This window comes from Homo sapiens, chromosome 18 (genome assembly GCF_000001405.40).
Source record: "Homo sapiens chromosome 18, GRCh38.p14 Primary Assembly".
Taxonomy (NCBI): domain Eukaryota; kingdom Metazoa; phylum Chordata; class Mammalia; order Primates; family Hominidae; genus Homo; species Homo sapiens.
In genome coordinates, this window is record NC_000018.10 from 9,542,076 (window position 1) to 9,567,355 (window position 25,280).

Here is a 25,280-nt window from a genome sequence, read left to right on the forward strand (position 1 = left end):
AATTAAAGAACTATTTTTTTGAGACGGAGTCTCGCTCTGTCCCCCAGGCTGGAGTGCAGTGGCGCGATCTCGATCTCAGCTCACTGCAAGCTCCGCCTCCCAGGTTCACGCCATTCTCCTGCCACAGCCTCCCGCGTAGCTGGGACTACAGGTGACTGCCACCACGCCCGGCTAATTGTTTTTGTATTTTTTAGTAGAGACGGGGTTTCACCGTGTTAGCCAGGATGATCTCAATCTCCTGACCTCGTGATCCGCCCGCCTCGGCCTCACAAAGTGCTGGGATTACAGGCGTGAGCCACTGCGCCCGGCCAGAAAAAGAATTCTTAACGAAAATAATTTCTATAAGATAAAACTAAAACTGTTGGCCGGCTGTGGTGTCTCACACCTGTAATCCCAGGACTTTGGGACACCAAGGCAGGCGGATCACCTAAGGTCAGAAACCCTGTCTCTACTAAAAAAATTTAAAAAAAAAATACACACACACACACACACACACACACAAATTAGCCAGGCGTAGTGGCAGGCACCTGTAATCCCAGCTACTCAGGAGGCTGAGGCAGGAGTTGCATGAACCCAGGCGGCAGAGGTCGCAGTGAGCTGAGATCGCACTACTGCACTCCAGCCTGGGCAACAGAGTGAGACTATATGTCTCAAAACGCACACACACACATAGTTAGTTATTAAATCCCTATAGAAAATGGATAAAGAATTAAACTGGCTTAGTAGAGCTCACTGCACAAAATACCTTTCATAAAAATTTATGGTTGGAATTTTTGTTTAGTCAAAATATTCTCATGGTCAAAACTGCCATATTCAGATCACAAAATTACCTCCATTTTGGAATTTCTGGTAGAGGAAAGTGAGAGCTGGGCTTCCCTCCCACCCTCACCTACACCAGGAACTGGTTTTCTAGTGAGAAAAAGACACATTCACTCCCTAGGCCCTGAGCCCTCCAGGTCACTTAAAAACCACCCCCACACACACCACACACTCTACACACAGGCACTCCACACATAACACACCACCCCCCCACACTGCACACGAACACACTCCACACACATGCACTCCACACCACGCCCCCCACCACACATGAACACGTGTGCACACTACACACATGCACCCCACATGCACACACGTGCAGGAAAGGCCTGCACCCTCCCTGGACCCTGCCATCCCCCCCTGGGGCCCTGTTTTTGCAGGTCCACATCCAGCTTGGAAAGGCTTGAGGCAGGAATCAGAAAACACAGCAACATACACCATTTTTTACACATTTATTTCCAGACTCAGTTGTTTCTTCTCTCGTTTGAGTCAGAGGATTAAAGATGCCATTTGCGGCGGGGCACGGTGGCTCACGCCTGTAATCCCAGCACTTTGGGAGGCCGAGGTGGGCGGATCACAAAGTCAGGAGATCGAGACCATCCTGGCTAACACGGTGAAACCCCGTCTCTACTAAAAAAAAATACAGAAAATTAGCCGGGCGTGGTGGCGGGCGCCTGCAGTCCCAGCTACTCGGGAGGCTGAGGCAGGAGAATGGAGTGAACCCGGGAGGCGGAGCCTGCAGTGAGCCGAGATCTCGCCACTGCACTCCAGCCTGGGCGACAGAGCGAGACTCTGTCCCAAAAAAAAAAAAAGAGGCCATTTGCTTGGCTTTGAGTTGCTGGGACTTTCCCTCTTGCTGGCTCATTGCTTTTCATCTCCTTCTGGAACCCTCCACAGAAACATGTCCCAGTTCCTGAAGGCAGTTTACAGCCTTGCTGCCCTCCCCGAAGCCCCTGCCTGCCCTGTGCTGCCCACCAAGCACCTGCCTGGCCCTTCCTCCCCACACTAAGCACAGCTGGTGTTTTGGCACCAGCTCCCCCAGAAATAAGTCACCCCTATAACAACAAACATGGGACCTGAACAAACCAGGTATGACAGCAAAGGAGTTCAGGAAATGCCACCTCAATCTATGCTGCACTGAACTGAGGGGAGTTGTGGAATGGCAAATGCTGGGAGGGGCTTTCTCTGGACATCTTCATATGCCCAAAGACAGATCCTCCAGAAGGACCTCAACTGCCATGAACCCCTCCCGGGGGAACCTCATCCACCAGGGAACCGAAGGCTCACACGTCACACCTGGATACTCTGTTGCGGTGTCACCTGTTCTTCCGAGGGCTAAGTTCATTTACCCTCCCCTAAGTTGCCCCCATCCCCTTCCCTGTCCCCTGTGAGGGAGTACAGAAGCTTCTCCATCTCACTGGGTTTGGAGGTATCGGCTCTTCAGTGTGATGCTCCCATGCACGTGAAAAATTCATCTAAGCTCTTCTGTTAACCTGCCTACTGTCAGTTTATTTCAGACTCAATTACTGAACTCCAGGGGGTGGAGAGAACACCTTCCTTCCCCTCTGAGAAGAACCAATGCCACGCCCGCCCCGAGGCTGAAGAATCACCCAGGCAGCTGTATCACAAGAGGGTCTCAGGATGCTGGCATGGCAGCTTTCTCAGTGACTCAACACTTGCCAACTTGGAGTTAAGAGAGTTCTAGAAAGCATCGCAGAACTATCTCCAAGACCAAAAATGTAGCTACTCCTCGAGCCAGCCCTCCAACAGCCCAGCAGCAAGTCTGTTCCCTGGAGATTGGGAGAAATCAGGGAAGGATGGAGGAACTCACTACTGAGCTTCCATCTGTCACAAGCTCGCAAGCACGCTTCTCCCAAGAGGCGAGGGACAGCAGAGCTCATGAGTGCTGTGACCCCAGATCAAGCCAGGCCGGGCAGAAAGTGGGGCCCCATGTCAACTACACCCCCACGTGGAAGGGCCTGCTGGGGAGATTGGGGGCGAGCAGAGAATGAACTTTAGGCAGTGACTAAGAAGCTATTCCAGAAAGTAAGGCTTTCCTCTTCATCCTTCGTCACTCACAAGTCCTACGATATCAAAGAATATCGTCTAAGATTAGCCACCCAATATTAAATACCCTCAAAGACAGCTTACCATCTTACTCATTTTTATATTATGAAAGGAGAAGTTGTGAATACTAGTTGGTTTGCTGTTTCCACTTTCATCTCGTGGGGGACTGTCCACATGTGCTTGGCTTTATACTGCCTTTGGAATCCCAGCTTCCTCCCTTAGGAGATCCTGTGTAAGTGGAGGCCACACGTGAGACAGGACCCAGGACACCTGTCGCATACAGGTTGACTCCTGCTGCCAAGAACATGCCTACCTCACCTCGCCTTCTTCAGAGCCGCTACAGAAGGCATCATTGGCAACTACTAAGAGTTGAAATGAAATGGGTAACACTCCAATCTTATTCTGAATTCCATTAGAAAGTCTTCACACTGGGAGTGCCTTGATGGTAGGATGTGAAAGCTGTCAATGCAGGTGTCTTTTGTATTCATTGCCATTGAGGTATTTTACAGTGCTGTGTAGTCTTGGTAGGACAGGCTGTGCGAAGGCTGCAGTGGGAATTGGCTTGTGCATTTTTAACTTTACAAGCGCTATAGCGCAACTTAAATTCAAGTTCTTTTATTTATTTATTTTTTGAGACGGACTCTCGCTCCGTCGCCCAGGCTGGAGTGCAGTGACGCCATCATCTCGGCTCACTGCAAGCTCCACCTCCCGGGTTCACACCATTCTCCTGCCTCAGCCTCCGAGCAGCTGGGACTACAGGCGCCCGCCACCACGCCTGGCTAATTTCTTTGTATTTTTTCAGTAGAGATGGGGTTTCGCCGTGTTAGCCAGGATGGTCTCGATCTCCTGATCTCGTGATCCGCCCGCCTCGGCCTCCCAAAGTGCTGGGATTACAGGCGTGAGCCACTGTGCCCAGCCAAATTCAAGTTCTTTACCCCCAAATACACCATGTTAGCATAGCCACTGCTTTAAAAAAATGCTACTAGTGTATGATTCTAATGCAATTTTCAGAACTGAAATACTGGGGGCCAAAAATATATGATAATAGCAGACAATCTGCAGCTCACACACGAGGCTAAATCAAGCGGCCAGGTCCTCCTCCGATCTCTGCTGATGCTGCTTTCAGAGGCCTTCGGAGACCACCCCACACCCTCCACGGCTACTCCCCAGCCCCACTCCCATTACCCACTTCACATATTACCTATGCATTTATCTATTCATTTGAACATCCTTCCCAGTGGAATCTGTTTACACTTATATTTGCAGTGTGTAAATATCTGGGTTATAATGCGAGAAGCAGCAGCCAAAGGCTTATTTGTAATAGTGTAGACAGGAAGCAGCCCACCTATTCTCAAATCCCACACTGAAGTTCAAAGGAACTTATTTTGACTTACTGAGGAGTCCCTGCTGGCTAACTAAATAAAACCAAAACTCACAGAAGCACCAGGGGACTCCGACAGGCCAAGGTTTTCAAACCAGGCTTACAGGAACATCAAACATTTATACACGCAGCACTTTACAAAAGCACCTTCACACAGGAACTCATTTGCCTGCAAAACAACCCTGTGAGAAACAGGGCAGGTTTTACTAATTCCCATTTTACTGACGAAGACATCGAGGCTCAGAGATGCTTGACTGTGTCTCGGGAGCTTCAAGACAACCCCCCTCTGCTGTCTTCAGTGGGCGGCATCCAAGCTGTGCCAGACACTCGGCACCCACCTGCTCTTAGGGCTGCAGGCAGGAGCAGGAGGAGCACCCAAGAGGCACCTGCTGCTGCCAAGAGCAAAACCCAAACCCAGGGACACAGGCAGATTCCAGAGAAACTAATAAACTAGTTAAAAGACAAATATTTTAATCTAGTTTCCCCACTTTAAATCATTAATACAGGTCACAAATTGCATTTATTGGTAGACATCTAGAAAACAATCAAAAGTGTATATATCTCTCTCTATAGATCTTATTAATAAATTTTATTTGGACAAGAGAACTTGTGCCACAACAGTTTAAACAGCATGATTAAAGACTGCAGCACTCCCAAGAGTGGTCACAGGTATGTACAGTATGTGAAGAAGTTGCACCTCAGAGCTGATCATGATCAAGTTAAAAACACCAGACATACATTATACGTCTAATAAATTTCCTTCAGGTCATGACCAGCATGAAAAAATCAGACACAGACACTCAGCAACCATTCTGTAAATGTGTACAGCAATATGCTGCGCTTAAGAGTTTAAGTCAATCCTACTTGTGTTGGCATCAGGTCCTTTAGGAGATGTAAAAACCCCTCCTTTCCCATTTGCACACGTCACAAACGATTCACACACAGGGCTGGGCTGGACAGCTGGCCACAGAGCCCAGCAAGTCCTTCCTGGGAGAGAAGAGTTAGGGCTGATACTGAAGGTCTCTTTCACATCTGGGCACACGTCTGCCTTCAGGCTGTAAGAATTTCATTTGTCGATTGTTAAATAAAACCAGGAGAAAGCAATGCAGGTCTCTGGGAATCTCATCCCTTCCATAAGGAAAATGCTCTGCCAATTCAAGTTTCATTCAGTCAGGAAGACAGAAGGATTTAAGGCTTCGGTGACAATTATAATCCTCTGAGAAATTATTTCCCCTTAAAGTCAAGATAAGATAATAGTGTTTACTGTACTTTCTCTTGACTCTTGAAATCCCTGGTATTGGGTGTAGGCAACTTGCACCTGCAATGAAGTCCGCAGGAGAGGAAGGTCTCTCCTCCCCCGAAAGCTATCCCAGGTCACATGCGTGGCGAATGCCCACTGAACCTCGGCTCTCATGGAAGCAGGAAAGACACCGAGATTCAAGCCTTCTAGTAGGTTGAGGACGCTGTGCTCATGGCATCTTCGGAGATTTTGGTACTGGCAGGGTGGATGCTTGCAAAATACTTGACATCGCTGTCACGGTCCATCTGAAGAGCCATGATGGTCTGCTCCACAGCCTCCTGGTGGCAGCTGGCAGAGGCCAAGAAATAGTCTGGAAATGACATGTGCATAGGACAGATGAAACCAGTCCAACGGAACACTTCAGAGTTCCGTCAAGTACGAGTGTAAACAGTTAAACTGGGTATTTCTACAAGTACAAACAAGCCACACTGAAACATAAACAGTAATCCAAACTGATTTGTTATAGGAAGAAAAAGTGCCAGAATAAAAAGAGTTATGAGATTTATCTTGTTTTTATAAGACTAAATCTCATGATATTCAATGACAGCTAAGGAATATTAAATTAATAAATAGATGAAAACATCACACTTCTTAGCCATTAAGTAGCAGTGAAAGAAAAATGCTTCCAAACACCAACTACAAAAAAAAAAAAAGGAGAAAAAAAAATATTCATTTATCCTTATTCTTTGACATCTACTACAAACTTCTTTCTGTGCTTCATTCATCCGTGCAACTATATTTATGAGGTGTTTTGGGCGGCAGGCGGCGGGGGGGTCGATTAAAATAAATAAACCACCTTTAATCTTGAAGAGATTATAATTTCCAACAAAACAAATACTATGGGGCATCTGTCTCTTGCCTAATGAAGAGAAAGCAGAAGGGAGAGCAAACATAGGTAGGTACCAGCCCCCATACTGCAGATTGCAAGTGGCACGCTGCCAGGCAATGGTTTGTACATAAAAACAACACCCAAGTTTAAAAACTAAGTTTTAGGTCAGGCACGGTGGGTCATGCCTGTAATCCCAGCACTTTGGGAGGCTGAGGCAGGCAGATCACATGAGGTCAGGAGTTCGAGACCGGCCTGGCCAACATGGTGAAACCCCATCTCTACTAAAAATACAAAAAATTAGCTGGGCGTGGTGGCGGGCACCTGTAATCCCAGCTACTGGGGAGGCTGAGGCAGAAGAATTGCTTGAACCCGGAAGGCAGAGGTTACAGTGAGCTGAGATCGCACCATTGCACTCCAGCCTGGGTGACAGGGCGAGACTCCGTCTCAAAATATCAAGCAAACAAAAAAACCTAAGTTTTAAATGATAAAAATGATACATGCTTCCGATAAATAAACTCCAACTAGAACAGTAGAGGGCTAATTAAAAAATCCCTTTCATCTTCCATGCCCTCTTGGGAGAATCACCGGAACAACTAAAGTATTTCCTTCCACCAGATTATTTTCTCTGAGCAGACAATACTTCTGCTTTGATATCTGCTGATCCAGTGCAGTCCACAGACCTCCTTCTCTACTCACACGCTTCTTCTAGTGGAGTCACTACCTACCTTTTTCTAGTAGAGTTTGTCTTAATGTCTTTGCAAGCAGCACTCGCACGTTAGGAACCCTGTCATTTGCTAAGGTTAGCAGATGCGGCATGAGATGCACAGCAAACTGGTCCATGGGAAGGCAGTCATCCTCAATGACAGTCTGGGGAAGAGAAACAGCTGCTCTAGGCTTCTCTGTCAATGTAGCCAAAAACTCGACTACTGGCTAACAAAATCTCTGAGTGACCACAGGTACAAATTTTAGTTATTGCTTTTTAACCAAAATTCCACGTACTTGGGAACTCAAATCAAAAATTACATAATTAACTGCCCACACGGACAGACACAGTTTTTAAACTGCTCTACGGAGACCTAGAGTGTTCATTCACAGGTGTTTCATTTTCACACCTGCGCTCTGGGTCCCAGACATGAGCACCCTCTAGTGGGAACCGTGGTATGGTATATGTGTGCACAGTATGTGTGTGGTGGGGTACATGTATGTATGCCTGTGTAATATGCAGTGAGGAACAGTGAGGAACATGCATGTATGTGCACTGTGAAATGTACATATACACACGTCTGAATGTGTGCAGAGCAGAACACGCACATACCAGGCATGTGGTGTGGAACAAGCACATACAGCAGGCACGTGGGGTGTGTGTGGTGCATGCCAGTGTAAGGAGGGGCTTGGCTAGCTGGGAGAGAGGGGCCACCAGATGCCCAACAATGGGGGCAGATGATCCTATAAACAGCCAGGCTACTATAAGGTTCTGTTCCTTAAGAGTAAGGAAGAGGGTGAGAGAGAGGTAGGAAGTTAAAGAAGACATTCTTCTAGGAGAAAAACTCACAAACAGGTAAGCCCAGGGCCTCGCTTACCTGGCAGACAAAGACAAAGGCTTGCCGACCAGACCACTTGGGACATCTGCCAAAGTTCTCCACAAGCTCATTGATGAGGTCCACTCCGAACGTTGGTGGTGTTGCCGCGTGCAGCTTCTTCACCATCTCGCTGACCTGGGAGGGTGAGCATGGAGAAATGAGGAACAGCTTCCATTCTAGGATCTTAGAGTTTGCTGATCTAAAATTTTAAAAGTTCAATACATACCAACTTGTAGGAAATCCAACGAACAGAAGAAACTTTGTCTGCACACAGATTCAGAGCAATGGGACGTAAATAGTCATAAACATCTCTGGGACTATATAACTCTAGAAGTAAAATCAGCTGTCTACAAAAAGGAATTACAAAAAGACAATGTTTAAAAATCAGCGAGACAAATGAAAATAGGTTACCCATTTAAATCATCTGTAATACTGGATTACTGAGCACCTGTCTCAAACATACGCAAAGAGGAGTGATTAAGCAGACCTCTCCTGTACAGTTACCTCCAGTCTCTGTGTATCTGGAAATGCACTTACATGCTATTCAAGTTCCTTAGAGTGTAAGGAAAACAAAAGCTGTAGAGTTCTGCATCCATGGGGACTGAGACAGAGCAAAGCACTTCCTAGTATGTTCAACTGGAACATGGCCCACACTGATCCATGGTCACAGTTTGGAATGTGCTGAGAAGCTTCCATCTACAATCAAGTTTCTCAGTAAGAAGTCCCCGCAGAGGGAGGGAGTCCACTGTGTACCTGTCGAGGCTCTGAGGAGCCTTCCTGGAAGGGATTTGCTAGGGATAACAGAGGGAGGGTGTCCTCCAGCAACCTTCCCATCACATCTGAGGGGCCCTGAGACTTTCATGACATCTACCAAGCTAACCTGAAAGCTTCAATGATGGCCTTGAAGAAATACCTTGGATGTGAGACTTTTGCCTTTCAGATTTTATGTTCAAGAGGATTTACATTTCTAATAAGCAGAAAGTCAACTGTAACATGAATATAGATTATGCAGCAATGATAAATGCACCTGTGTATACAAATATGCATCCTCAAAGAGACACACTTATTTTCTGACAAAATTCAAAATAAAAATTCCAAATAGGACCAGTTTCTGCTTAGAATACAGAAAACTGCAAAGAACGTCACTGACCCTACAGTAGAAAAAGCTACATAAACTTCAAGATCTTTTCTTGAGCCCATCAGAGAGCTGGGGTTGCAAAGCACACAAACAACCTAACTTCCCAAGATGGGAAAGAGAACTGCCCCTCAGCAGAGCCCGGATGGACAGGACACCTGCTAGCACCTAACAGGGCAGGGAGAAATCAGCTCGAATTGCAGTCAGCTGCCCAGGGCCAGATGGTGGCTGGCAGGAGCATGGGGTGGCTCAAACAAAGCCAGATGTGCCCGACACAGGGAGCTCACATTCCCAGACAACCTTCTGACTTCCACAGGGTACCTGCCTCCCATGGGTGCTTCAAGAAAGATGGTCAGGAAAAACAGGAGAGATGTCTCATAGCAGGCAGAAGCAACTGACTGACAGCCATGAATCATCAAGCACTCTGCTGGGCCCTTTTCTCGTGCAAAGCAAAAGGCTTAACCTGCTGGTGGAGGGGCCCCAAAGCCTGTCCACCCTGTGGGCCCAGCAAAAATACTGCAACTGTGGGAGAGGAGAACTAATGCTCCTTATTCCAGGAGGAGCTGTAGGAAGTCCTGCCCGAGACCAAGCACAGATAGGAGGTCCCACCCATTACGCAGGGGTGCAGGTACCGCTAAACGCCGGGTGGAATACTCACACTAGAAGACCACTGGTACCCCAGCTGCCACCCTCAGCAAACGACAATGGTAGTGGCAGCCCACAGCGAGAAAAACTGAAGCCCCAAGTACACTGAACGTAACCACAGCAATCACAAAACGCAAACCCAGCTTGACCCTGACTAGATGGACTCACACCCCGGCACTATATGGCAGAAGAGGAGGCGTGTGTTTTGAGTCAGAAGTGGGCAAGCCAGAACTCAATGGAGTGGCATCTTTAATATACTGAAAGACAAACTGTCAGCCCCACATTCCATACTCAGCAAAGACATCATTTGAAAATGCAGGTGAGGTCTATAATCCAGAATATATAAAGAACTCTTACAACTCAACAACACAACTTAAGATAATCCAATTTAAAAATGTGCAACAGACTTGGATAGACATTTCTCCACAAAATATACACAAATGGTTGACAGGCTTATGGAAAAGTGTTCAACATCATTAGTCATTAGGGAAATGCAAATCATACCACAATGAAGTGCTGTTCCAAGCCCATCAGAACAGCTGTAAATGATAAGCGAGTGATGGATATGCTAACTGCCCTTATCTGACCACTATCCGATACGTATTGCAACATCATTACATACCTCACAAATATGCACAATTATTATTTGGCCAATTTAGAAATATTTTTAAAATTTAGTAGAAAAATAGGTGTTAGTGAGGAGACAGAGAAACTGGAACTCCCATACATTGCTGATGGGAATGTAAAATGGTATAGCTGTTGTGGAAAAGTTTTGGCAGTTCCTCAAGAAATTAAACACAGAATTACCATATGGCCTTGCAAATTCACCTCAAAAGAACTGAAAACAGATTTCAAATATTAAATCTTGTACATAAACGTTCCTAGCAGCACTATTCACAAAAGACCACACCCCCAACCCAAATGTTCCTCAACAGATGAATGCCCTAAACGAATGTGGTATATCCATACAATGGAATATTACTCAACCACAAAAAGGAAGGCAGGTTCAGCTAGAGGATACAATATGGAGGACAACTGAAAACATTGTTAAATGAAGAAACCAAGCACAAAAGGCCATGTGTTATATGACTCCACTTGCATGAAATGTCCGCAACAGGCAAATCCATAGATAGTAGATGCTTATTGGGCATGGGTTTTTCTTTTCGGGAGGTTAACATTTCAGAACTAGATAGAGGGAATGGTTCCACAACACTGTGAATGGACTAAATGTCATCAACAGCAAATTTGGCTATGTGTATTTCACCATGATAAAAATAATATAAAGATGAACTAAAGACATTTTCAAGAAAAAATAAAAAAGCTGAGGAAATTCACTGACAGTAAGACACATATTACAGGAAGCGTTAAAGGGCTAGAATACCACATAGAAACTTGGATCTACACAAAGTAATGAAGAAACTGAGAAAATGTAAAAATGAAGTAAATATATACCCCTCCAAAACATAATCTAATAAACTGTTAGAACTTACTCAGCCAGTTCAGCTCGAAACCGCCAATTTCTACTATTATCTGTCACCAAAAACTCCTGAAGTTGATAAAGATATTCTCTTCTTTTGTCAATATGAAGAAGCTAAAGTAACAAAATAAAAATATTTACCAGGACAAGGTACAGACAGTATTTCTTTTACTAGAGTGCTTAAAAACAGACTGTAAGCAATATGGTTAATTCTTCTGAAGAGGAAATGTAGTAGCTGTATTTAAGTGTTTTAAAATTTGGTATTAAGTTTATTTTTCCCTGAATAATTCCATTTGCCTTCAGGAATCACCATCTTGTCTGGAAATCTTTGTTCCTTGTGCCTATCAATGAGCCACGCTAAACCCCACAGTACCCCGGGCACAGCCTGATTACAGGGCTTGCCCCCTTTATTCATATGACATCCTTGTTGCCATGGCCCCGCTTAAGGCAGTAATTATGCTCTTAACCACGTGTGTAAGCCCTGCGTGTGACGCTGTGACAGCACAGAGTAGGCATTCAGTATTTGTTGAGAGAAAAAAAATAAATGTATCCCAATAGCTGCTCTATAAATATTTAAAGGTAAGTTTATAAACGGAAGCAAACCAACCTAACTGTGCATCAGATGGAAAACAATCACACAGGGAAAAAAGCCAAAGTGTGAACTGACTACTTTGACCATACATCTTCAAGGGACGTTCTAAGGACAGAATGTGCTAGGAAGTCCTGAATATTATGTAGTTGATTTGATGTGGGAATTATTATTGGTGGAGTAATTCTGAAACTATTTCATTTATGTTGTGGAACTCAGCAAACAACTAATTTTTTTTTTTTTTTTTTGAGACAGTGTCTCACTCTGTGGTCCAGGCTGGAGTGCAGTGGCGGGATCTCGGCTCACTGCAACCTCCACCTCCCAGGTTCAAGCGATTCTCCTGCCTCAGCCTCCCGAGTAGCTGGGACTACAGGCGCATGCCACCACGCCCGGCTAATTTTTTGTATCTTTAGTAGAGACGGGGATTCACCGTGTTAGCCAGGATGGTCTCGATCTCCTGACCTCAGGTGATCCGCTCGCCTTGGCCTCCCAAAGTGCTGGGATTACAGGTGTGAGCCACTGTGCCCAGCCACAACTAAATATTACACATTAATGTTACTAAGAACAGACTTTTTACCAGGAGTAAAAAGAAAAAAATATATAAAGTGAAGAGAGAAAACGGTATTGAATTGGAAGCAGTTCATAACAATATGAAGTTAGTAATTTAATTAAAAAAAAAAGCATCACACCTCCTAGCTACTATCTACACCTCCTAGCTACTATCTCCTGAAAAGACCTAAAAGAAATGACAGGCCAGGAGCAATGAGCACTTCCAGTGCCTGGATCTCAGTTTCTAAGGACCATTCTCCACTAAAAAGGACCACAGTTCCTTGGAGAAATAGCTGACTCCAGGCTGGGACAGGGAAAGGGAAAGTTGAAACTGAAAGTATTGATGCACTTAAAAATCAAAGGACAAATCAAAGGACACAAGAGGCAGCTTTAAGGGGTCTCCACTAGTCAAATTTGATGCTCAAAACAAATGACAGAAATGGATTCCATTATGTTGAATTTTTAAAATCCTAGAGTCCCCACTAATACTAAAATAACTTTCGAAACCGGGGAAGGAGAGAAGGCACAGGTTATTTTTACATGGGAATGTTACTTAATAAAAACAGAAGGAATGGCCCAGCATAGTGGCTCACATCTGTAATCCCAGAACTTTGGGAGGCTAAGGCGGGGCAGATCACTTGAGCCCAGGAGTTCAAGACCAGTGTGGGCAACATAGTGAAACCCTATCCCTACAAAAAATACAAAACTCAGTTGGGCGTGGTGGTGCGCCTGTGGCCCCAGCTACTCAGGAGGCAGAAGTGGGAGGATCATCTGAGCTGGGAGAGGTGGAGGCTGCAGTGAGCCATGATTGCATCATTACACTCCAGCCTGGGCAACAGAGTGAGACCCTGTCTCAAAATAAGTAAGTTAATTAATTAAAAAAAAACAGAAAGAATTATGAAAATAGAAAATCACTCTTTCACAACCAACACAGTTAACTGATTCAGGTAAGAACCATGTATAGATGCCTGGATATGAGAGCACTGGTGAAGGACTCTAGAGAAAAAGATATTCAGAGTTCTAAAGTATCACCTCACCAATTCTCTATTAACCACAAAAGGTAAAAGGTCATTTTACAATGGAGTTGTCAGCCTTCTCGTCACCAATGATGGGAAGAGCCAACACCACATTAGCCCTGATGTGGCACATTCAGAAAAATACATGACAACCTACACAGGTTAACATGTCTGCAAAAAAACCCCGCTTACTCAGAATCAAATTGTGTAAATTCAAATTGAGGGTAATTCTGTAAAACAACTGGTTTAGACTCCTCAAAAATGCCAGTGACACCTAGATTTAAGAGGACTAAAGAAAGATAACATTTAAATTTAATATGCACTTTAAGGGATTCAAAATTGAGCGGAGAAAAACTATAAAGGACAATACTGGGACAATCAGAAAAATTTTAGGCCAGGCATGGTGGCTCACGCCTGTAATCCCAGCACTTTGGGAGGCCAAGGTGGGCGGATCACAAGATCAGGAGATCAAGACCATCCTGGCCAACACGGTGAAACCCCATCTCTACTAAAACAAACAAACAAACAAACAAACAAAAAAACACAAAATCGGCCGGGCTTAGTGGCACGCACCTGTAGTCCCAGCTACTCAGGAGGCTGAGGCAGGAGAATTGCTTGAACCTGGGAGGCGGAGGTTGCAGTGAGCCAAGATCCTGCCACTGCACTCCAGCCTTGTGACAGAGCGAGACTCCGAATATGATCTACATAAAATATAAAATGGTCTCAATGTTTTTGTTTTTTACTTTTTTGAGATGGAGTCTTGCTCTGTCCCCCAGCTGGAGTGCAGTGGCATGATCTTGGCTCACTGCAACCTCCACCTCCTGGGCTCAAGCGATTCTCCTGCCTCAGTCTCCTGAGTGGCTGAGACTACAGGTGCCTACCACCACGCCCAGCTAATTTTTTGTATTTTAGTAAAGACAAGGTTTCACCATGTTGGCCAGGCTGGTCTCAACCTCCTGACCTCAAGTGATCTGCCCGCCTCAGCCTCCCAAAGTGCTGGGATTACAGGCGTGAGCCACTGTGCCCAGCCTCAGTGTTTTTTAAAAGGGAGGACTACAATTACTTCTATCACTCAAGCCTTAGAATTACCAGAGTCAATTTCAAGGCTAAAGTCTAAAAACAACAACAGTACTCCAGGAGTAAACAATTTGTAAAAAATCAGGGCTATTCACTTTGGAGACCACAGCTCCTCTATCAAAGTAGTGAGGGCTAAACGTAAATTCTCAAGACGCCTGAAATACCACACAAAGCCTCCAAACTTAATACACAGTTGACTTTCAACAACAGGGGTTTGAACTGCATGGGTCCACTTATACTTGAATTGTTTGTCCCAACCAGATTGAAAATACAGTATTCCCGGATGTGAAACTGGAGTACACGGAGGGCAGACTTTTCCTATACGCAGGTTCCACAGGAGTACTCCATGGATTTGGGTGTGCATGGGGGACCTGGAACCAATCCTCCTGCATGTACTGAGGGATGACTGCAGCTAATGATTTTTTTTAACATACATTTCACTCAATAATTTTGAAAAAGAAAAAGATACAAATGTCTGTAAACTATCATCTAATACTGTTTTAAAAGTGAGAGTATAATTATGGGACCATTTCTTTTTTAAGTTGCATCTTAACATCAACTTATGGCTGTGTTTTCTTACATAGAAACACAAAGAAACCTCTCTTGGTGATAGCAGAAGATAAAGATTTAGATTACGGCAGAATTTTGTTGTGTTTTTATGCAAAAAAATTTAAAAGTTACCTTCAGAAAATCATGCAAGTGTTTAAGAACACCTATCCTGACTTCATCGAGGTCTTTTAAAAATCCATTAAAAATTGGAACCAGATCTGCAGCTGTCAATTGATCTCCAAGAATAACTGCAAGCTCGTGGATGGAGAATGCTAGAGTTCGTCGAACTTTCCACTGCAGAAATGAAAACACATTAGTAAGCTAACCACAAAGTACGCAGTACTTTAACCATTAGGCAATATACAAAGGCTAATTTATATATGAATGTTACTAACCTCAAAAAATTAAATCAGAATAACAGATACTAACTTTAAATGCCTAAATTATGCATCGAAAAGTGTAACAGAAACATTTTAAATCCCTGCCTAGTACGTATTATCTTCCTTTCATTTATGAGGAGAAAATGCTTAGCAATCGTGAAGTTTTTGTAGCTCTCTGAACATTGGACCCTGGCTCTGACAGTGCAAGAAGAACATGCTCTGTTATTACTCCTAAGCTCTTCCATACATAATTTCCTGTAGCACTAAGCACATGCTAGAACATGCCGACGTACTGAGGCTGCACATGGCTTTGTTATTACTCCTAAGCTCTTCCATACATAATTTCCTGTAGCACTAAGCACATGCTAGAACATGCCGACGTACTGAGGCTGCACATGGACCAAAGGATCTCTAGCACCCTCCCCGGTTTACTGTTCCCCTTCAGATTCCTGTACAGCCAAACCTTGGATTAAGAAAAACAAAACAGAACAATAAAATTTGTTTTTAAGGAATTGGCAATTTAAGAAATATAAGACTAGGGAAATCAGCATACAGCCTTGGAAAAGAAACCCTCAACAGAAATGTGTTGCATTTATAATAATTTTAAGTTAAAAACATCCTTTTCTCCATGGTGCCTTAATCATAAAATTTTTACATAGTAACTTAAAATTTTACCTAAAGAGAAACAGTTTAGAGCAAACACTGTATTTCCTTTCCCTTCCCCCCAGAATCCACTCTTGAAATAAAATTTTACGCCCAAGTTCAACATATAAGACAGATGAAGGCAGAGATGTTCTGATGGAAGAGGGGGGCAGCAGAGAGAAGAAACTGCCCATCCAGATTCTGAGCCATCAGAGTCACCCAGGTGCCCCGAAAGATACATCCCACGGGAACCCTACAGTTCTGTAGAATAAAGACTGAAAACACGAATACACAGGACAAAGCACTCTATGGAAATTGGGCCTTTGTGGTTCCATGACCAGATGCAGCACTTAAAAAGTATATGAACACAGATAAATTCACTTCTTCTGGGTCCTGGTTAAGGATAAATTCACTTCCCCTGGGCCCAGCTTTCCTAACCTCATAGGTCAAAGGAGGAACTTGACCTATCAAGATTACTTCCAACTTATAACTTGCTGAGTCAACAGCACTGATTCCTTGAAAAATACAATTACTAAGAAGTTTAAGGAAAAGTCATCACATTTCAGTACAAATTAGCCTAATCAGACTGTTTTTTTTTTTTTTTAAATAACTGAGAGATCAACTTCACTGAAGGAACAGGTGTGTTCAAAGAGGGGCAAACTTTGTTTATACAGAAATCAGCCCTGGCAGGGGAGGTCAGGTCATCAAGCCTGGGAAGAGGTCACACAAAAGTCACAGATGTCCAGACAAAATGACGTGAAGCAAGGGTTTACCTTGTGTGTTCTGTTGAAAGGGGTTGGGGGTGGTGTGTGGGGATGAGGAGAGAGCAAGAACCACGGAACTTCTCCTGTCTGTACTGCAATGCTCAAGGCATGCAGGGCCCAGAACTTCACATGTGCTAGTAATACTGGAGTTCTACTACGGTTTCAACAAATATTTTCAGATCTACTGTGCAAATCAAATAAGCATTTATAATACTATTTCTAGGTGAAAAATTAAATCCTATATTCGGAACAATTAATTTACATATAAACTCTAGATAATAATACATTTTAAGTTAGGAATGTAGGCATGTTGAATGTGATAACAATTTCTAATGCTTTAGATAAAAATGAAGAAGCCAAATTGTGGGACTCTGACACTGCAAAAAGAACATGCTCTGTTATTACTCTTAAGCTCTTCCATACATAATTTCCTATAACACTAAGAACATGCTAGAACATGAACAGAAATTCTTTAGGTTACAAAAAGCAAAGCACTGTGCCTTCCACATGCACGTTCTGCTAATTCTTTAACTGCTTTACTCACCTGCATGTCTGAGGCCAGAGTCTCATACGTCTCTCTCAGGCAGTGCCAATTCTGTCTTCCGAGTGTCAAGGCCACACCAGGGAGGCTATATGCACAGTGCTTAGCAATTTCAGTGTCAACCGTCTGTGCACGAGAAGGGTCAGTCATAGATAAATACTGATCTAACAACGCCTGAGGTACAACATCCTAATGGAGAAAGAGAAACCACAGTGACTGAGCAGCTGAGATGCATTTTGAGCAGTTTAGACATAAATTGGGCAAAATTATTTTTAAATATATAGATTTTAACATAGCATCTCAAATAGTTGAGAAAAACCAATGTCAAATGTTCAGGTATCTAATAACTAAGAGATACGAAAAACATGCTAAGGGAAACATATATGAACAAATAAAAGCAACTCTAGGAGAACAATGAATAACATCTCAGCTCAAAGGAAAATTAGAATTAATTACTAAATTGAAAAGACATATTAAAATAACACCAGAGCCTTTTAAATGTAGGCAGAGATGACAATGTTTGTTATAACCCAGCAAATGCAGAATAACAGGTGCTCTGCGTGATTTGCAACATGTTCATTAAAAAAACAAAAACCAGCCAGGCACAGTGGCTCACACCTGTAGTCCCAGCACTTTGAGAAGCCAAGGAGGGTGGATCACTTGAGCCCAGCCTGGGCAACATGGTGAAACCCCGTCTCTACAAAAAATTAAAAAATCAGCCAGGTATGGTGGCTCACACCTGTAGTTCCAGATACTCGGGAGGCTGAGGTGGGATGATCACTTGAGCCCAGGGAGGTGGAAGCTGCAGTGAGCTGGGATAGCACCACTGTACTCCAGCCTGGGCGACAGAGTGAGACTCTGTCTCAAAACAAAAATAAAAACTTGTCTTCTTTAGATGAAAATTTAAGCAATTATTTCTAGAAAATTGAAGTGCACATGTCTAATTATTAGTATATATGTGAGGAAAAGAAGAACATATTTGCAATCTTGCTTAGGTGTGTATAAATATAGCTGTGGAAGGATATAAAAGAAAGGTAAAACTGGTTGTATCTCAGGAAGCAAAATGGATGAGTGGAGAAGAAAAAACTGAGAGGGGAACATCACTGAATGCCTTTTAAGTATCTTGAATTTTGAGCTACATAAACGAATTATCCATATACACAAAATGAAAATGGAAATAAACTCATTAAAATGAGATTTGAAATACTGAAAATGTCTGTAAGTGGGGAAAAGCATGTTTCAAAACACTATTGTTTTGAATACTGATTTCATTTTTAGTAAATAAAGTAAAAATTGGCTAGATGTGGCGGTGCACATCTGTAGTCCCAGCTACTTGGGGGGCTGAGGCAGAAGGATCGAATGCTTGAGCCCAGGAGTTCGAGGCTGCAGTGAGCTGTGATCTCGCCACTGCACTCCAGCCTGGGTGACAGAGCGGAGACCCCATCTCTAACAACAATAACAAAATAAATATACCATTTGATCTGGGAAATCTACTTCTAACAATAATAATATAATCCTAAGGCTGGGCACGGTAGCTCATGCCTGTAATCACAGCATTTTGGGAGGCTGAGGTGGGCGGATCACTTGAGGTCAGGAGTTCATGACCAGCCTGGCCAACACGGCGAAACACTGTCTCTACTAAAAACACAAAAAATTAGCTGGGCATGGTGGCTCGCAACTGTAGTCCCAGCTACTTGGGAGGCTGAGGCAGGAGAACTGCTTGAACCCAGGAGGCGGAGGCTGCAGTAAGCTGAGATGGTGCCACTGCACTCTAGCCTGGGTGACAGAGTGAGACTCCATCTCTAATAATAATAATAATAATAATAATAATAATAATAATAATAATAAAGTCATAGAAGCAAACAACACGTACAGACAGTCATGGTGAATGCAGCACTGCTTATAGCATCAAAGTGAAACTACAACGAGTAGCATCTCCCACAGTGCCTTCTTACGATGGAGACCACGGGTGTGGCATGGACACTGTGCTGTGCTGCTGTGAAGGTGAAGGAGTCCTGGTGTGCTCACAGGAGAGGTCACCAGGTCAGATTGTTAGAAGAGAAAAGAAAAGAGCAAGGCAAGGCACAGCTACCACATTTCAATGATTCCGTGAGCACAGTTTCCCTGCAGCTTGTTACTGATGGCACTTTAAAATTTTCGTATTTTTTCATATTTTCATCTCTGAAATCGAGCTGTATTTTATAATTATTGGCAATGTGAACAAGAGGAAATACCTAGGTAGGATGGGATGACCACAGCTGTCTTCAATGATAAAAAGAGGCACATGTGTATGTTTATGTGCCCATGAAAATACATGAAGGAAGATAATAAGGTGTGTGATCGTGGTCACTCTGAATGAAGAATGGGATCACAGAGGTAGAAAAGGGAAGATTTGTGCTTCCATGTTCCTCTCTCTACTACTTCGATTTCCTTATGGAAAATATGACACACTAGTCAATTTTTAGAACACTCATCATAAAGAAGGGGCAAATTAGGTCAGAAATGGGCTCTAAAAGAGGAATTAGGAACACACCCACAAAAGAACACATTTTTTGGTCACTTACTTGTACTTTAGTTCTCCTTTCCTCATCAGGGCTAAAACTGCTATTGTTGCTCAAGTCTGAATCGCTGTGAATATAGTGAAGAGTGGAGTCCATATTCTGTTAGGAAAAAATAACTACTTAAAGAGCTGTCCTGTCTGTACATCTTCATTTAAGCTATCTTACTAAGTTACTTACCTTTCAAGACTGCCAAAAGTAATAAACATATAAATTCCTCATGTTTTTAAAAGCTTATAAACATACCTAAGAACCTACCCTACTTTAAATCTAACTTGCTGAATAGGTTGTCAAGTGTACGAAAACCAATTCCAGAAAAATTAGAGTAATTAAAAACAATATTTGAAAGTAATTTTGAAATGGTCCAAACAGCTCAAATTAGCTTATTTATGAAATAGTACTGAGAGGATTCTTTTGGTCCATTGTTTTAGAGACCATGGAGTGTCATATGCAGTTTTTCTTCTATTTCTATTCTTGGCTGTTAATATCTAATTTCACAAATTATATATATGTTAACAGCCAAAAACAGTAACAACAACAACAACATAAACACCTTCTAAAATGCAGATATATTAATACTATTCAAATCTCCAATAAATAGTCAGGGCTTCAATCCAAAGCAGTGGTATTATACAGATTTCTAACTATACCACATGCCATCCAACAGAAATCAAAACAGAAATGCACTAAAGCTCTAAGAACCCTCCTGCCATCCCCAGTGTGTGCAGGTACTCTTTCCTGAGCTTCTCATTCAAGCCACTATGATCTGTGACCATGCGATTCTGGCAATCGGTGGTGCATTCCTTCTCCCCATTTGTATAAACAATGGCTAAGCAGCACTGATACCAAATAATGCTGGCTTGATGGAGATGCAGCAGGAAATTAGGGAAGGATCATAGAGAACAGCTACAAGTACACAGTGAAGATGATGCTAGGATCAGTACCCACCCTCACACTCCAGAGTCCAGATAATGTCACTGGCCCTCCGCAACATGGCCTCAAGTCCCGATCTTCTGCTCAGAATACTGTGTTGCTTGCTGCAGTGAAATGGTCCGATCAGAAACAAAGCACCTCTCCAAAAAGAAAAGGGAAGAGTTAATTATTCTTGATAAAGGGCTTTGTTTCCAGTAAGACTATTTCACTGCAGTGAGCTACATTAACATTGAGTCTACTAAATGGTCATATAGACAGAAGTGGGATTTACTTTTCCAGGCATTTCATATGACACTAATGTCACGAGGACAGGATGTGATGAAAACAATTACTTTATGCAAAACGAAGAGCTAAAAAATCAGCAACAAACAGAACATACAAACTAAAAGTGATTAGCTACAACTATTCCCCAATGAAAGACTTCTGATTCAAACTACTCTCATTTGGTAAACACTTTACTGAGTTTGTTACCTCAACAGCATCGCTGATTAAAGGCACAGAATCTTCTTGATTTATTTTACAATTTGGTAGCTCATTTATATCCAGTTCATCTTGCAAATCACTTCTCTTTTCTATACTGATGGTCTCTTCATGTGCATCCAGGCTGGAAGCACGTAGTGCAGCGGACAGCACTTCCACTTGTGCTACAGGCAAAATAAGGAAATGGACAAAGTGAGAAACACAATTGCAATATTCTTACAAGGCTGTTCTCCATTTGCACTGTACGTTATCAATGAAATATATACTTTTTTGACACTGCAATCAAAAAGCTGGAAAAAAATTTCTACTGTGGTAAATCATTAGTCCTTCAAGAGAAAAAGTAGAAAACTAATATGCTTTCATGAGATTAAAAATGTTTATCTGCTACTGTACATTATTCTGCGTTAGTATGAAAAGAGAAATGCTATCTAGTTGCTGGAGCTGCCTCCGGCTTATTAAAAGGAGTCAATTTCAGTAAACGTTAACTATGTTTTGGTAGTGCATGAATCAAACTGGCAAGTCTTACTTACTAAGCTATTTTAGCAGAAGAGCAGTCACACAAACCCTGCCAACATAAAACAATGGCAATTACAAAGATTCTTGTCACAGTTACATTTAAACATCTCATATCTTATTACTGCTTATTTTTCTCTAATTCTTTTTGAAAATGAGAATTGCATCTTCTCCCAAACACAATAATCCCAAATGAGCACTGTCTTGCTTGCAGCAAACCAAAAGGACAACTTACCAGGCAGTGGTTCAAAAATCTGGCAACTAGCATTGCCTATGTTTTGGGTTGCACCTTACTTACAAAGGTGATTCAAAATTAAGATAAGGCATTCTTCCTGCTCCCCAAATAAATCAGAAATTTAGCAAAAAATATTGCTTAGCATTTATTCCAAGTAACAATCCACTTGGATGTTCAAAATGTGAACATTTTAAATTCAAACATTTTAAACAAAACAATCAGTAACTATTTTAAGATAATCTATTATGCTGCAGCATTTATAAAATTTCTCATCTAAGTATATTAAGTGCCTGACAACAGACACACAAGCAACATACAGGATGAGGTTCTAGTCTATTAGGTCATTACTTGCTAACTTAAGAAAATTGAACATATTCACTCACAAAAAGTTGTAGTGGAATATTTTCATTATCTTCAGAATTTCGGCTGCAATTTTCACCAACCCTTTTAATCACTTCAGCCACTCCCTTTTGGGATCACTCCCAAGCCAAACCAAAACAGTACTCAAAATAGACTGTACAAGAAAGAAAGGTTAAAATGTTTTGTCCCATATAAAGTGCATGGTGTGTGTGTGTGTGTGTGTGTGTGTGTGTGTGTGTGTGTGGGGGTATCATCCCCCATCCATTCTGTTCCCTGGAAAGTGCAGGCATACTTTGTTTTATTGCACTTTGTAGATACTACACTTTGGCTTTTTTTTTTTTTCTTTAAAGAGGTGAGGTCCCACTATTTTGCCCAAGTTGGAGTTACTTGCAGAAAGCTATTCACAAGGCATGATCATAGCTCACTGAAGCACTGAACCCCTGGGCTCAAGCAATCCTTCTGCCTCAGCCTCCTGAGTGGCTGGGACTACAGGCACACACCACCATGCTGGGCGTGATAACTGTACTTTTTCTAAACTAAAGGTCTGTGGCAAGCTTACATTTAGCAAGTCTATTGGTGCTATTTTTCCAACAGCATGTGTTTACGCTGTGCCTCTGTATTGTATGTTGGTAATTCTTGTACTAGTTCAATCTTTTTCATTATTGCTATATCCGCTATGGTGATCTGTGATCAGTGATCTTTGATATTACTATTGTAATTGTTTTGGGAGCTGCTAACTAGCCATACAAGACGGCAAACTTAAATGATAAATGTGTGTGTTCTTACAGCTCTACCGACTTTCTTTACCCATCTCTCTCCTGTCTCCCTATTCCCTGAGACTCAACAATATTAAAATTGGGCCAATCAATAACCCAACAGTAGCCCCTAAGAGTTCAAGTGAAAGGAAGAATAACATGTCTCTCACTTTAAATCCAAAGCTAGAAATGATTAAGCTTAGTGGGGAAGGCATCTCAAAAGCCAAGAAAGCCCAAAAGCTAGGACACTTGTGCCAGTTAGCCAAGTTATAAATGCAGATGGAAAAGTTCTTGAAGGACATTCAAAGTGCTACTCCAGTGAACACACAAAGAAGAAGGAACAACAACATTATTGCTGATATGCAGAAAGTTTGAGTGGTCTGGACAGAAATCAAACCAGCCACAACGTTCTCTTAAGCCGAAGTCTAACTCAGAGCAAGGCCCTAACTGGCTTCAATTCTGTAAAGGCTGAGAGAGGTTAGGAATCTGAGAAGAAAAGCTGAAAGCTAGCAGAGGTTGGTTCATGAGGTTTAAGGAATGGAGCCATCTCCATAACATAGAAGTGCAAGGTGAAGCAGCCAGTGCTTAGGTAAAGCTGCAGCAAGTTATTCAGAAGATCTAGCTAAGATTACTTAAGCCACTAAGGTAGCTACACCAAACAACAAATTTTTTTTTTTTTGAGATGGAGTCTTGCTCTGTCACCCAGGCTGGAATACAGTGGTGCAATCTTGGCTCACTGCAACCCCTGCATCCCGGGTTCTAGCAATTCTCCTGCCCCAGCCTCCCTAGCAGCTAGAATTACAGGCATGGACCATCATGCCCAGTTAATTTTTGTATTATTAGTAGAGACAGGGTTTCACCATGTTGGCCAGGCTGGTCTCAAACTCCTGACCTCAGATGATCCACCCACCTCGGCCTCCCAAAGTTCTGGGATTACAGGCGTGAGCCACCTCGCCCGGCCCAGATTTTCAACACAGATAAAACAGTCTTCTATTGGAAGAAGATGCCATCTAGAACTTTCCTAGCTAAAGAGAAGTCAATGCCTGGCTTCAAAGCTCCGAAGGCCAAGGTGACTCTTGTTAGGGACTAATGTGGCTGATGACTTTAAGTTAAAACCAGGCCAGGAGTGGTGGCTCACGCCTGTAATCCCAGCACTTTGGGAGGCTGAGGTGGGTGGATTACCTGAGGTGAAGAGTGCGAGACCAGCCTGGCCAGCATGGTGAAATCCCATTAAACAAACAAACAAAAAAAACTAGCCAGGCATGGCGGTGCATGCCTGTAGTCCCAGCTACTCGGGAGGCTGAGGCAGGAGAATCGCTTGAACTTGGGAGACAGAGGTTGCAGCGAGTTGAGATTGCACCACTGCACTCCAGCCTGGGTGACGGAGTGAGGCGCTGTGACACACACACACACACACACACACACACACACACACACACACACGTTAAAACCAATGCTCATTTACTCAAAAATCCTGGGGCCCTTAAGAATTAGGCTAAATCTACTCTGCCTGTGCTCTGTCACTGGAAAAGTAAAGCCTGGATGAGAGCAGATCTATTTACAGCAAGGTTTGCCGAGTACTTTAAGCCCACTGTTGAGACCTATGGCTTAGAAAAATATTCCTTTCAAATTATTACTGCTCACTGACAATACACCTGGTCACCCAAGAGCTCTGATAGAGGCGTATGAGGAGACAATGTTGTTTTCATACCTGCTAACACAATACCCATTCTGCAGCCCAAGGATCAAGGGGTAATTTCAACTTTCAAGTCTTATTATTTCAGGAATACATTCTGTAAAGTTATAGCTGCCATAAATAGTGATTTCTCTGATGGATCTGGACAAAGTAAACTGAAAACCTTCTGGAAAGGATTCACCACTCTAGATGCCATTAGGAGCATTCACGATTCATGGGAGGAGGTCAAAATATCCACATTAAAGGGAGTATGGAAGAAGGTAATTTCAACCCTCATAAATGACTGAAGGATTCAAGACTTCAGTGGAGGAAGTAACTGTAGGTAGGGTAAAAATAGCAGGAGAACTAAAATTAGGAGTGGAGCTTGAAAACGTGAGTGAAATGCTACAATCTCATAATCAAACGTTTTC

The 25,280-nt window shown here is 42.9% G+C and overlaps 1 protein-coding gene across 19 annotated transcripts in view; it reads right to left on the reverse strand.

The window, feature by feature from the left end:
- Positions 1-4,718: 4,718 nt before the first annotated feature.
- Positions 4,719-25,280, reverse strand: part of PPP4R1 (protein phosphatase 4 regulatory subunit 1) — a 70,406-nt gene continuing 49,844 nt past the window's right edge. For 14 of the 19 annotated variants that reach the window (XM_047437976.1, XM_047437973.1, XM_011525776.2 and 11 more), the window contains 9 exons: positions 21,303-21,475; positions 19,905-20,000; positions 17,344-17,529; positions 15,146-15,307; positions 11,247-11,347; positions 8,203-8,323; positions 7,977-8,111; positions 7,122-7,263; positions 4,719-5,877 (listed from right to left, as the gene is read on the reverse strand). In XM_047437976.1, coding sequence (XP_047293932.1) covers positions 5,714-5,877; positions 7,122-7,263; positions 7,977-8,111; positions 8,203-8,323; positions 11,247-11,347; positions 15,146-15,307; positions 17,344-17,529; positions 19,905-20,000; positions 21,303-21,475 — 1,280 coding nt within the window. In that variant the 3' untranslated portion in view covers positions 4,719-5,713. Of the gene's footprint in view, positions 5,878-7,121; positions 7,264-7,976; positions 8,112-8,202; positions 8,324-11,246; positions 11,348-15,145; positions 15,308-17,343; positions 17,530-19,904; positions 20,001-20,846; positions 20,972-21,302; positions 21,476-25,280 lie in introns of those variants that run through there. The other 5 variants (NR_052003.2, NR_168403.1, NR_168404.1 and 2 more) reach the window with 4 other exon arrangements.